This window comes from Homo sapiens, chromosome 21 (genome assembly GCF_000001405.40).
Source record: "Homo sapiens chromosome 21, GRCh38.p14 Primary Assembly".
NCBI lineage: Eukaryota > Metazoa > Chordata > Mammalia > Primates > Hominidae > Homo > Homo sapiens.
Window position 1 is genome coordinate 44,348,347 of NC_000021.9, and position 13,829 is coordinate 44,362,175.

Below are 13,829 nucleotides of genomic sequence, written 5' to 3' on the forward strand. Positions count from 1 at the left end.
TGAGAAACACTTTGTGCCAAGTGCTTTCTCCTCTGAACTCGAGAGGACTCTCCATGGAGATTGGTACCTGCCAATCGGGTTTTATGGTCGCGTGTCCTCTCTTTTATGGGAAGAATATCGTGTAATTGCTACTGCAGCAGCGTCCGGGCAGACAGACGTGCAGTGTGCGGTTCTTCTCTAGAAAGGCAGGAGCCGCTCCCAGGGCGATGTGGGCCCGGCTGTTTCATCAGAGATGGTCAGCTTGGTACCTACTTCACCTTAAATGATGTTCCCACAGAGGCCCCGGGATACTTGGAAACAAGCGCCCAGCCCCTCTCGCAGATGGCTCTGCAGTTACGACTGTCTTATAAAATATTAACTGCCTTGCGGTATGTTTTTAGTTAACGAGATGGCTCTCTAGCCAGAAAGCACCCAGGGCAGGGGCACTGGATGGGGCTCTGCTGACATGGAGCGGGTGAAAGGGAGGGCGTCTTCACCTCCTTTGTCTGTTAAGGGGGCTCTAAGACACCTCTCTGGGGGTGTTGCTGATTGTGATAGGACCCAACTCCTGCAGTGGGTGCTCGTCGAGCACATCTAGTTGCAGGGTGGACCGGGCGAGGACTGTACCGTCCAGCAGGGCGCAGCTGCGGGTGTGTGGGGACACTGTGTCTAGTTGCAGGGTGGACCGGGCGGAGGACTGTACCGTCCAGCAGGGCGCGGCTGCGGGTGTGTGGGGACACCGTGCTGGCCACTCTGGAGGGCAGCTTCCGGCCATGCTTGTGCAGAGCACAGTGTCCTGAAGAGGTGACAGTGTCCTGAGTGCTGTCCTACACCAGGGGCTATGACCGCCTTCCCACCACTTTGCAGGCACCAGGATGGTGGGTTAGTGAGATGGTGGACATCCTTGGGCGCGCCAGCACCGCTGGCTGGCTCATCTGCGGAGGGCCTTCCAGAGGCGTGTGCTCTGGGCAGTAGTCTGGGCAGCAGGCCTGCACACCCAGGGAGGAAATGAGGGTGGCGGGTCAGGCAGTAGTCTGGGGGCACCCTCCCTCCTCCCAGATCAGAGGCCACAGGACCTCTTCACTTCCCTGGACATGGAGGCCAGCAGGGCCCAGGAATGGCAGCCGGGTATCGCCCGCTGGTGGCAAGGAAGGGGCGGACAGTGTGGCTTTGTGGGGTGAAAGGGCGTCTGGGTCACTTGGGAAAGGCACATTCGCCTTCTCAGGCATCAGAGGGCAGTCCCCGTCCCTCCCCAAGCCAGAGAGTGGGCAGCACACAGGGTGGAGTTAGACATCCATGGGGCCCCGTGGCCAGCACCTGCCGCGATGGGGACTGCTGGGCTTGATCTTTCTGGCTGTTCCTGTCCCCTCCACTGTGACACATCCAGGGAGCAGGCCCTGAGCCTGCCCCAGCCTTGGGGTCCTGCCTCTCTCACTGGGAATGGTCCCTGGCTTGGGGCCACATCTGGGGTGCTGGGGGAGGGGGCTGCAGAGGTCTTCGAGAAGGGGGTCCTGGGTCTCGTTGTGGGGGGGGTCTCACTCAGGCCCAGGTCCCCCTGCGACTCCTGCCCTGCCTTTCCCGCTCCCGTTGGCCATTCAGGGCTTAAAGATAATCGCGGCACTCGCCGGTTTAAAAGGAGACACGTGCCCCCAACCCTCCGAAGGCACACATCCGCGCGAGGGTCCGGTTCCAGGTCTCTGGGGGAGGGCGGGCTCGCAGGCGGGGTGTCTGGGCCCAGCCTTCCCTGGCGTGTCCTTGGCTCTAGCTGCGGGCGCGGGACGCGGCGCGGGAGACGCTCTCCGGGCTGAGTGACGCAGAGCGCTGCGGGCGGCTCCACTGCACCGGGCACGCGGCGCACGCTCGGGCGAGATGTGGATGGCCCCGCGGGGCCAGGGCGGCGGTGCTGCGCGGGGACGCGGGTGACGCCGGGGCGCGGGCGGCTCCGAGCAGGTAGGTGCCCGCCGGGGCCGGGGCGAGGGCGCGAGCCCGGGTGCGGGGACTGAGGCGGCCGTCCCGGGAGCTTGTGAAGGTTGAGGCGGGGTGCAAGGGCGCGGATCGGGGTGCCGAGTGCGTGCAGGGGTGCGGGGTGCGGGGACCGAGGCGGCCGGCCCCGGTGCTGCTGCAGGGCGCGGCGGAATGCAGGGGCGCGGTGGGGTGCAGGGGCGCAGGCGGGGTTCGGGGCGCTGGTGCAGGGCGCGGTGGGGTGCAAGGGCGCAGGCGGGGTTCGGGGCGCTGGTGCAGGGCACGGCGGGGTGCAGGGGCGCGGGTGGGGCTCGAGGCGCTGGTGCAGGGCGCGGTGGGGTGCAGGGGCGCGAAGGGGCTCCGGGCACTGGTGCAGGGTGCGGTGGGGTGCAGGGGCGGGCGGGGTTCGGGGCGCTGGTGCAGGGGCACCGGTGGGGTTCGGGGCGCGGACTGGAGCACCCAGTGTGCGCAGAGGCGCGGGGCGCTGACTGGGAGCCGGGTGCGGTCTGTCTGCGGGACGCCTTGCCGCTGGAGCGACCCTGTCCGGCTGGCGCGAGGGGACCCGGGGATGAGGGACTCAGCCGTCCTCGTGCCCCTGCCCGTCCGCCGGGACAGCAGGCCCCGCTTCTGGGGCGCTTACTTCCTCCGTCCCCGCACCCGCCTCTGCCTGCCCAGTCTCCGAAGCGCTGGCTTTCACGCGGGGATTTCAGAAGATGCCCGAGCAACCTCCAGAGAGGGCAGGGAGGCCACACGGTGTACCGAGGGAGTGCAGGGCGCGCCTGTCCCAGTCCTGCTGGTGCCAGAGGCCCGCCCTGCCCAGACAGAACCTTCCATTTCCCCGGGGAATCTGCTGGGCTGGGCTGGGCTGGCTGGGGGCGGGTGGGCACACCAGGATCCTCTCGAGTCGCCTGGTCCTGGGCTCGCGTGCCAACGAGTCTTCTTGAATTCGGCCTAGGTGATGGTGGTAGTGGTCTTCCCGCTGCCACCCCTGCCATGCGGGACCCCCGGGGCTGAGGGAGGGGCTGCTCAGTGGCTAACCCTGAAGGGTAGGGAATGCTGCCCCAACCCACACTCCCTGGGGCTCCACTGCCCCCTTTCTCCGGGAATAGCTCTGTGCAGGGCTTGGGTTTGGAAATCCACCCACATGGGGCCTTGCCTTGCTCAGGCCTGCTTCATGCATCTGTCTTCTGGAAGCTCATTTCCTGAGTGCTCTCAACACTCACACCTGTGCCAGTTGCTTGTGGAGAATTTTAGCTGTGAACCAGGGTGGCCCAAGCTGTTCTCAGGTGACTTGTGAGAAAGGGATTGAGCCTGTAATTTTGGGTAGAAGAACCCCAGAAAGGGCTGGATGGGCCCTTGGAAGGTCGTTGCCAGGCCTGGGTTTTCAGGGTTCTGCACCCCTGGGCTGAGGCTGAGGCACCCGTCCTGTTGGGCACTGGGTCGAGCCATTGGCCCCCCCACAGCGGGCATCAGATGCTCACAGGGGCTCCTGGCTGCCTCCTGCAAAGTCGGGTGGTGCTGGAGCAGGTCTGACCTGCTTCCCAGGGCCTGCTTGCCTCTGGGATTAGAGGAACCTGCACAAGACCCCAGGGGCTGTGCTGAGGTGGACAGCTGCCTGAAAGATGAGCGTGTGAACAGAACATGCTGGTCTTAAGGCAGAGAGTCCCACACCGTGGACCCTCCCGTCTGATGCTGGGGTCTTCGTTTCCAGCGTGGAGCCATCCTCATCCCGTGCAGGGTGGACCGCCTGCCTGGGGAGCCACCTGCAGTCTGGGTCCCCTTGCGGTGCCACTGCGATCTCTCTAGAGCCTCCTCTTCCTCCTGCCACTGGGGACATCTCTGCCCCTCTGCTTCCCTCGGAAGCTGGTTGTGAAGCCGGGCCAGTGGCTGCGGGGACAGCTCATGGCCCTGGAAAGACCCCACTGGCATGCGGCACAACATCTGCTCTGAGAACTGCAGGAAAAGGCCGGGCAGGGCACCCCTGCCATCCTGCCAGTGAAGTTTACGGGTCTCGGAATGAGTGTGGCCAAGGGGCAAAGGGGAGGAGGGAGAGGGGGAGGTGGGGTTGCCTGAGAGTGCCCGCCCCAGGACAGCAGCCCGTAGCTCAGCCCCAAGAGCCCGGCACCGAGCTTCGAGCTGCGTGGCCCCGAAGAGGGGCTCAGTCACCTAATGTGATGAGGGGACGGCAGAGCAAAGGCTTGTCTGACAGTGACCGTCGTGTGTAGTGGAGAGGACGTGGCCAGAGATCTGGTTTCAGGGCAGGGATGAGGGGGGATTCCAGTCAGATCTTTTGCATCCCAGCAACCCTCCCCTTGACACCTTTGGGGCAGTGGCAGGGGATGACCATGGATGACCTCATGAGAACACTGTGGGTGTCAGGGACTCAGGGAGGCCCCGCAGGGCTTGAACATGCTTATGTTTCTCATTTGTAAAGGGAGGGCAGTCATCCGGTGGCTTCTTGTGGCCTCGGTGATGAAGGCCACATCAGAGCCAGGGGGAAAGGATATGAGAGAAAAAGATTCATTTGAATTATTGTCTTTTTCCTGGAGTGGAGAGATGTGGTACTCCCCAAAACTTCCTTTCTAGGCTGGGCACAGTGGCTCACGCCTGTAAAACCAGCACTTTGGGAAGCGGAGGCTGGTGGATCGCCTGAGGTCAGGAGTTTGAGACCAACCTGACCAACATGGTGAAACCCTGTTGCTACTACATACAAAAAAAATTAGCAGGGTGTGGTGATTGGCGCCCATAATCCCAGCTACTGGGGAGGCTAAGGCAGGAGAATCACTTGAACCAGGGAGACCGAGGTTGCAGTGAGCCGAGACTGCGTCACTGAACTCCAGCCTGAGCGACAAAGTGGGACTCCGTCTCAAAAAACAAGAAGAAAAAGAAACTTCCTTTGTGGACAGTGAGGGCTATTTAAAAAAATTTTGGAATATGAAAGTAGTCACTGGTGTCTGGAAGCAGGAGCTGTGCAGAATTGTACAGTTGCGAAACCATGTCGCTGGCAGCTGGTGCTGGCGGTGGAGACTTCCCTGTGCGGTGCTCAGTGCAGCTGCACCCGTGGGGGAGGGAGCTCTTTCTCTGGCCCTGCAGTCACCTGAGGTTGTTACCATTATGAACGGCCGCTGGGACCCCCGCATGTGCATGTACTCCCCCAGAGTGTCCGGGGGCCCCAGCCAAGGGACACAGCTCAGGCAGCTGGGAACATGTGCAGGCTGATGAAGAGAACCGGATGAGGGCTTCACATGAGGAAGCATGTGGCCAGGTCCTCTCAGAACATCAGCCTCATCTTCCTGTCTCTGATCTATTTCAGCAACCACCCCATGTGTCTCTAGAACCCCAGTGTAGCGAGCTGGAGAGAGGACTGTCCTGAGGGCAGCAGGCCTGGTTGCAGCTGGCGTGGGGGTCTCAGAATGGAGCCCTCAGCCCTGAGGAAAGCTGGCTCGGAGCAGGAGGAGGGCTTTGAGGGGCTGCCCAGAAGGGTCACTGACCTGGGGATGGTCTCCAATCTCCGGCGCAGCAACAGCAGCCTCTTCAAGAGCTGGAGGCTACAGTGCCCCTTCGGCAACAATGACAAGGTAGGCTTTCTGCTGGTCAGCCTGCAGTTGGCACGTGGCCACGGAGGTCACCGTTGGGCAGGTCATAGCTTGAGGCTGTGACGACGGGGGTGGGAAAGGGTCTGCTGACCTTGGGGGCTCCTGCCCAACCATACCTTTGGGAGAACAGAACTGGGGAGGGTGATGCGTGTCTCGTCTTCTGTGGGTTGCATGACCATTTCCCATGGTTGGTCTGATTGGGAAATCACCGGGTTAACTCAAAAATGTTGCGCTAGAGTCCTGGAAATCTGTTACCCGTGCTTACCTTGTTGCATAATGATTTCACATCCTTTATCCGATTGGGAGGGCCTGGGCCTGGGCTAGCTTTCCCCAAAGCCCTGGATACAAAGACACAAGTATGTTGAAAGCACATGGCATCTTGCAGTCCCCTTGCCAGGCAGGCAGGAGGGTGGCTGCCCTTTTTCCGATGGTGCAAGATCCAGGTCCCCAGATCCCCAGCCTCCACGTTTTCCACCACACCATGTTGTTCCCAAGGAAGGTGGTGGTGCTGTAGAAACTGTAAAGTGCGCGCACATTCAAAATGGTCCCAAGAGGAAATGATTTCTTAGATTCATTCCTCCCTCCTGAATCCCCACCGGAGAGTCTTGGCAAGGTGCTTCTAATCTTTGGCTCAGGGTCGCGCAGGCTTCCTTCCTTCAAGCAAATAGTGTGAAAGCTCCTCAAGGAGCTCAGATGTGTCTCCAGGGGGCTGGGTGTGCTCTTTCGAATGTTGGAAGATCTCAGTGTGCTGTCTTTACCTTCAGCAAGAAAGCCTCAGTTCGTGGATTCCTGAAAACATCAAGAAGAAAGAATGCGTGTATTTTGTGGAAAGTTCCAAACTGTCTGATGCTGGGTAAGTGACGTGATTTGTGTGTAAGACCTCTGACTTCTTCCTTCCGATCCCACATGGAGTAGCTGATCAGGCCAAGACCCCTCAGGGCCTCAGTGAAGGGTCACTGGAGATACCTCTGTCTCCATACGAGGCTTAGAGTCCACAGAGCATTTCCACCTAACCCTTGCAAGCCTCCTGTCGGGGACAGTTGACCCTCATCCTGCCTCGCAGGTGCAGGGACCAAAGTGCAGAGTTTAGGTGACTTGTTCAGGGTCATAAGGGCACTGTCGCGCGGCGAGGCCCAGTGGTGTGAACACAGATGCATCCTCTAATCCTCTCATTTCCACACCTGCCCCCACCCCAAGAGAGAGAGTCCCAGGGTCCAGGAACTGGAAGGGCCTTAGGGAGAGTCCATGGCCAGAAGACTGCCCCCCTGCACAGCTTGCCAAAGCCAGAGGCCCGACTTGCCCCCAGGCCCCACAGAGCCCCCTTTGCCCCTCCTCCCCACAGAGCCCACGACTCAGGTGTGGCCAAGACCCCCGCCCAGGCAACATGGCCACTGTCTCTGAGTGGCTGGATATGGCCCTCCGGAGCCGATGGTGCTCCCCGCAGTTGGCGCCCCTTTAGGCACGGACAGAGTGTTGATTCATGTTTGTGTGCCCTCCCCGAGCAACACCCATTTCATGCTCTTCCACAAATGGGCCACACGCTTCCTCCTTTTACTCCATTGCCTGGTGAGCTCCTACTTATCCCTCAAGGCCTATTGCAGATGCTGCCTCTGCCGTGCAGCCTTCCGTGACTATACAACCTCTACCAGGAAGTGAGCTTCCCTCCTACCGCACCGTGTGTTTCTCTTTGATCCCAGCTGTCGTGCTGTAACTGTGTGGCTTTGTGTTCATCTTTCTTGCTAGCTGCTGAGCTTCTGGGGGGCTGGGACGAAAGCAGAGTGTTGTGTTAATTCCCAGAGAGTGGCCTTCAGCTCATATTTACTGAATATGGGGAGGGAGAAGCATCCTGTGCTTGGGAAATAGAAGAAGACTGTGTTGCCCCAGGGTACCTCTAGTGTACTCGGTACATCATCAGAGTTTCACGGTCACCAATACAACAGCTGTCCCTCCGCATCCCTGGGGAATTGTTCCCGGACACCCACGGACACCAAAATCCCATATCTCGTATCAGTCCCAAAATCTCATATCAAGTCACTGATATGAGATGGTGTGGTATTTGCATATAAACTATGTACATCCTTCAGCATACTTTAAATCATCTCTAGATTACTTATAATACCTGATACAATGTAGATGTTATAAAAATAGTTATACTGCATTTAAAAAATTTGTATTTTTGGGCCGGGCGCGGTGGCTCACGCCTGTAATCCCAGCACTTTGGGAGGCCGAGGCAGGTGATCCACCCGCCTCGGCCTCCCAAAGTGCTGGGATTACAGGCGTGAGCCACTGCATCTGGCTATGTTATTTTTAATTGTTTTTTTTTTCCTGAATATTTTTAGTCTGCGTTTGGCTGAATCTGCAGATGCAAAACTCGCGGCCATGGAGGGCTGGATGTAGAGACAGTGATGAAGAGCCCCATGTGGAAGGAGCGGGGTCTGTAGAGCAGTGGTACTCCAGCCTCGGAGCTCACCCTTGTTACTGGAAAGGGGTCCCGATCCAGACCCCAAGGGCGGGTTCTTGGATCTCACACGAGAAAGTATTTGGAGCGAGTCCACAGAGTAAAGTGAAAGCAAGTTATTAACAATGTAAAGGAATAAAAGAATGGCTTCTCCATAGGCAGAGCAGCCCTGAGGGCTGCTGCTTGGCTATTTTTTTTTTTTTTTTTTGAGACGGGGTCTCGCTCTGTCGCCCAGGCTGGAGTGCAATGGCATGATCTTGGCTCGCTGCAACCTTCGTCTCCCAGGTTCATGCGATTCACCATGTTGGCCAGGCTGGTCTGGAACTCCTGACCTCAGGTGATCCACCAGCCTTGGCCTCCCAAAGTGCTGGGATTTCAGGCATAAGCCACCGTGCTTGGCTGGTTGGCTATTTTTATGGTAGTTTTGGATCATGTGCTTAACAAGGGTGGATTATTCATGAGTTTTATGGGAAAGGAGCGGGGATTTCCCAGAACTGATTTCCTCTTTCTTTCAGACCATACAGGGTATTTCTGATGTTGCCATGGCATCTGCCAACTGTCATGGTGCTGGTGGGAGTGTCTCTTACATGTTAATATGTTATAATTAGCGTGTAATGGGCAGCGAGGATAACCAGAGCCCACTTTCGTCGCCATCTTGGTTTTGGTGGGTTTTACCCAGTGTCTTGCACCCTGTTTTATCAGCAGGGTCTTTGTGACCTGTGTCTTCTGCTGACCTCTTGTCTCATCCTGTGACTTAGAATGCCTTAACCGTCTGGGAAGGCAGCCCAGCAGGTTTCAGCCTCATTTCACCCAGCGCCTATTCAAGATGGGACTCACTCTGGTTTGAACGCCGCTGACACCCTGACCTGCTGTGTCCTGAGAAGCCTAGGTGAGGCCCCGTGGGTCTGGGGCCTCTGCCAGTCGGCTCTGCGTGCTTCTCACATGGAAGTGGAAACCCTTGGGGCAGCAGGGCCCAGAGAGGAAGGGGTGCTGACCTGGATCAGATGTAAGCAGGACAGACTTGCTTCTGGAGGTCCCCAAAGCCATCCCCCATGCTCAGGGGTTTGCTAGGACTCACAGCTGTGCACACAGCTAAGGTTTATCATGGTGAAGGCCTACGTGATGGGCTTGGCAAGGGAGAAAGACACAGGCCGAGTCTGGAGAATCTGAGGGCAGGCTGCTGCGGCTCTCCTGTGCAGGCGCCATGCATGCTCCTTCCTCTAGCCGAGAAGCACGTGGCCACCTGCAAAGCCCATTCGAGGCTCAGAGCCCAGGGCGTGCATCCTGCGCTGGCCACGTGGGCCCCTCTGCATGGCAACCACCCAAATCCCAGACTCCCAGCAGGAAAGCAGCTGTTCAGCACAAACCCATTGCAGGAACAGTCCAGGCCCGGCAAAGCACTCCTAGCAGTCAGGGGACGGAGAGACGCTCCAAAAGCCCCGTTCCCAGACACCACCTTGAAAGCAGGCCCCTCTGAGAAGGCAACCTGAGATCTGCTGCACCGAGTCTGTCCCGCACAGAAGCCGCTCTCATCTCACCAACCACGGTGGTCACTGCAGCAGGATGGGAAGAGGGACCAGGTGTGTTCCTGGCTGTTCCTTCCTGAGGAGTGGATGGAATGTCCCTCCTTCTTGTGGAAAGACCAGGGCGGAACGAGTGGTGAGCATCGTCTGCCACAAACACAGCTTTTCAAGCAGATTTATTTATACCACTTACATGTTTCCATTAAGCATGGTAGGGTCTTCCTACCCCACTCGTCCAGACCTGGAGCCCCTCGACACCCGCCCGGGTAATCCCACTGCTTAGCCCCACGTCCTGGTAACCCTCCTCAGCTCTGCACAGACTCGTCTCATTTCCGTGTCTGCTGTGGCCACCCTGGTCCAGACCTTTGTGCTCACATTTTGCCACCATGGATCTCATGACCTTGGGCAGATGACTTCTCTTCCCTGGGCCACCAATCCTCATCTGTGAGCGCAGAGACTGGAGGGGATGCCTCAGAATTCACGCGCACATGCGGTGGGGGTGGGGAGGCAGGGAGCCCCCCTTGGGTGGCAGGAAGGAGCCCAGGTTGGAGAGAATACACCTCCAAGAGCTCTCATTTCCCGTGGGGTGCCGGGGGTGGTGTCCCGTTTACGCCTATCTGGGCCGAGTTCCGAGCGAGCTCTCCGGCGATGTAATTTCTGGATCAGTGTCCGCAATGCAGTTTCCAGCATCACATCAGGCTTGCAAACGCCATGCAGGTTCAAGTTCCAATCTCATCAGAGGTGATCGTTCAAGGACAAGAGGGACAGGAGGTAGCTTGTGATAGGCTGTTAGGAACATACAAGGACATTTGGGGCAGCATTGGAGCAAGACGGGAGAGCTCAGGTCCTTGTCTAGGGAACTCCTTTCCCCACCTCCGACCCAGGTCTCTCATCCATAAACAGTGGAGGTCACATTGTGTCCGGAGTTGGTTCCTTCCCGGGGGTCTTGGTCTCGCTGACTTCAAGAGTGAAGCCGGGGACCTTCGCGGTGAGTGTCACAGCTCTTGAAGATGGCAGGGACCCAAAGAGTGAGCAGCAGCAAGATATATTGTGAAGAGCGAAAGAACAAAGACTCCTCAGCGTGAAAGGGGACCCGAGCAGTTTGCCGCTGCTGGCTGGAGGGGTGGCCAGCTTTTATTCCCTTATTTGTCCCCGCCCGTGTCCTGCTGATTGGTCCATTTTACAGAGCGCTGATTGGTCCATTTTACAGAGCACTGCTTGGTCCATTTTACAGTGTGCTGATTGGTCCATTTTACAGAGCACTGCTTGGTCCATTTTACAGTGTGCTGATTGGTCCATTTTACAGAGCATGGCTTGGTCCATTTTACAGTGTGCGGATTGGTCCATTTTACAGAGCACCAATTGGTCCATTTTATGGTGTGCTGATTGGCGCATTTTACAATCCTCTTGTAAGACAGAAAAGTTCTCCAAGTCCGCACCCAACCCAGAAGTCTAGCTGGCTTCACCTCTCAACATCAGGTGCTCGCAAGATCCCTGCAAGTCTGAAGTGCCTTGAGCGTGACCTTAGGGGTTTGTACGGATTTGGATTTGTAGGGTGCACATCCGGGAGGAATTATTTTTTCCATTTTAATGATTGAGAAACTGAGTGTAGAAACATCCGAGATCACACAGTCAATACGTGGCGGGGAAACCTGTTTCCTTTCTCACTGCTCAGTGGTCTTTCCCCTGTGCCATCTGGTTCAGGTTTCATCTGGTTTTAGAGTTTTTTTGTTTGTTTTTTTTTAATTCCCTTATTTGTCCCCGCCCATGTCCTGCTGATTGGTCCATTTTACAGAGCGCTGATTGGTCCATTTTACAGAGCACTGATTGGTCCATTTTTTTCCTGTCTCATCTGTGTATATATATACACATATATATGTATATATATATATATTTTTTTTGAGACGGAGTCTTGCTCTGTCACCCAGGCTGGAGTGCAATGGCCTGATCTTGGCTCACTGCAACCTCCACCTCCCGGGCTCAAGCGATTCTCCTGCCTCAGCCTCCTGAGTAGCGGGGACTACAGCTGTGCACCATCACACCTGGCTAATTTTTGTATTTTTAGTAGAGACAGGGTTTCACCATATTAGCCAGGCTGGTCTCGAACTCTTGATGTTGTGACCCGCCCACCTCAGCCTCCCAAAGTGCTGGGATTACAGGCATGAGGCACCATGCCCAGCCTCATCTGAACTTTTCTAGGTTATTTGTTACCAGCAAAAAATTGGAATCTAAAAATATGGTGGATTTCCAATTAAACAAGTTACAAAGAACACATAAATTTATCTCTTCTTGCCCTGAAACACCAATGAATTGCAGTAAAGCAAAAAAAGACTTCAACCCACAAAGAAAAAAGAGGGAAGTTAGCAGTTGAAGAAAGAGATTGCCGCATTCTTGCCAGAGGAAGGGGAGGAGGCAGAGTAGCAGGTCCTGAAGGCTGGCGACTCGGGCAGCTCCTGCCGTCCCCAGGCGAGGGGAGGAGGTGGGAGACCTTGGGCGAGGTGCTAGCCCCATGTCGTCTGCTTGGAGCCTCCATTTGTGTGTGCTTTTAACTTTTTATTTTGAAATAATTACAGATGTACAGAAGTTCCAAAGATACTGCAGAAGGGCCCCACGGTTCCCCCTGTGGCTACATTCTGCATAACTGTAGTACAGTACCCAAGCCAGGAATTAAAGCTGGTAGAATGCATGTGTTTAGTTTTATGTCTTTTTTTTTTTTTTTTGAGATGGAGTTTTGCTCTGCTGCCCAGGCTGGAGTGCAGTGGCACCACACCAGCTCACTGCAATCTCCGCCTCCTGGGTTCAAGCAATTCTCCTGCCTCAGCCTCCTGAGTAGCTGGGACTACAGGTGAGCACTACCACGCCCAGCTAATGTTTATATTTTTAGTAGAGATGGGGTTTCACCATGTTGGTCAGGCTGGTCTCGGACTCGGGACCTCAACTGATCTGCCTGCCTCGGCCTCCCAAAGTGCTGGGATTACAGGTGTGAGCCACCGCTCTTGGCCTTATGTCATTTTTCACATGTGTATTTGTGTAACTACCACCGTGGTCAAGATACAGCACTGTCCATCTCCACCGAGCTCTTCCTGTACTTCCTCCGTATGGTCAGCTCACCTTCTCCCCCATCATCCCTGATCCCTGCAACCACCAGTCTTTCTTCATGCCTATCATTGTGTCATTTCAAGGATGTTACGTCAATGGAATCATACGCTACATGACCCGTGTCTTTTTCCCTCAGCACAGCGCACTTGATATCCATCCAAGTTGCTGCTTGTGTCAATATTATTATTATTATTATTTTTGATATGGAGTCTCATTCTCTGGAGTGCAATGGCACGATCTCAGCTTACTGCAACCTCCGCCTCCCGGCAACTGGGAGTAGCTGGGACTACAGGCATGCGCCACCACGCCTGGCTAATTTTTGTATTTTCAGTAGAGACAGGGCTTCACCATGTTGTCCAGGATGGCTTTGAACTCCTGACCTCAAATGATCCACTCGCCTTGGCCTCCCACAGTGCTGGGATTACAGGTGTGAGCTACCACACTCGGCGTTGTGTCAACATTATTTAACTGCTGAATATTCCTTTCCCTTTCGCCTTGCCTGTGTCATTACACTTCAAGTGAGATTTTGGTAGACGTCAAATAATTGGGTCCTATTTTTTTAAATACATTCTGTCAATCTGTTTTTTAATTGTCATATTTAGAAAATTTATATTTAGTGTAATTATTGGTATGTTAGGGCTTATGTCTGCCATTTTATTTTTTGTTTTCTGTTTGTTCTGTGTTTTTTTTTTGCCTTCTTGTGGGTTACTTGAACATTTTTTAGAATTCTATTTTGATTATTCATACTATTTTTGTTTTTTGGAGACAGAGTCTCACTCTGTTGCCCAGGCTGGAGTACAGTGGCACGATCTCGGCTCATTACACCCTCCACCTCGCTGGGCTCAGGTGATCCTCCCACCTCAGTCTCCTGAATAGCTGGGACTACAGACATGCACCACCATGCCCGGTTAATTTTTGTATTTTTGGTAGAGACAAGGTTTGGCCATGTTGGCCAGGCTGGTCTCAAGCTCCTGAGCTCAAGCAATCTGCCCACCTTGGCCTCCCAAAGTGTTCGGATTACAGGCGTGAGCCACTGCTTACACCATACTATTTTTGAGTGTATCTTCTTGTATCACTTTTTCTTAAAGGGGTTGCTCTAGATAGTATATTATATAATACAGCTTATCACAATCTGCTGATGTTGACATTTTACCAGTTTGAGTGAAATATAGAAACATTATCTCCTTTTACATCTCTGTCCCCTTCTTAATC

At 55.4% G+C, this 13,829-nt stretch overlaps 1 protein-coding gene across 10 annotated transcripts in view, besides 2 other annotated features; it reads left to right on the top strand.

The window, feature by feature from the left end:
- Positions 1,795-13,829, top strand: part of TRPM2 (transient receptor potential cation channel subfamily M member 2) — a 92,504-nt gene continuing 80,469 nt past the window's right edge. For 9 of the 10 annotated variants that reach the window (NR_038257.2, XM_011529736.3, XM_017028457.3 and 6 more), the window contains exons 1-2: positions 5,275-5,519; positions 6,302-6,390. Coding sequence is in view for 9 of the 10 variants with exons in the window: in XM_011529736.3 (XP_011528038.1) it covers positions 5,355-5,519; positions 6,302-6,390 (254 nt within the window). In the remaining variant the exon portion in view is untranslated. Of the gene's footprint in view, positions 1,930-5,254; positions 5,520-6,301; positions 6,391-13,829 lie in introns of those variants that run through there. The other variant, NM_001433516.1, reaches the window with a different exon arrangement.
- Positions 5,491-5,540: an enhancer, noted in NCBI's record as "active region_18571". NCBI's record gives its function as "activates an Ori minimal core promoter by ATAC-STARR-seq in GM12878 lymphoblastoid cells {active_cell/tissue: GM12878}" and the evidence as "EXISTENCE:reporter gene assay evidence [ECO:0000049][PMID:35858748]".
- Positions 5,701-5,750: an enhancer, noted in NCBI's record as "active region_18572". NCBI's record gives its function as "activates an Ori minimal core promoter by ATAC-STARR-seq in GM12878 lymphoblastoid cells {active_cell/tissue: GM12878}" and the evidence as "EXISTENCE:reporter gene assay evidence [ECO:0000049][PMID:35858748]".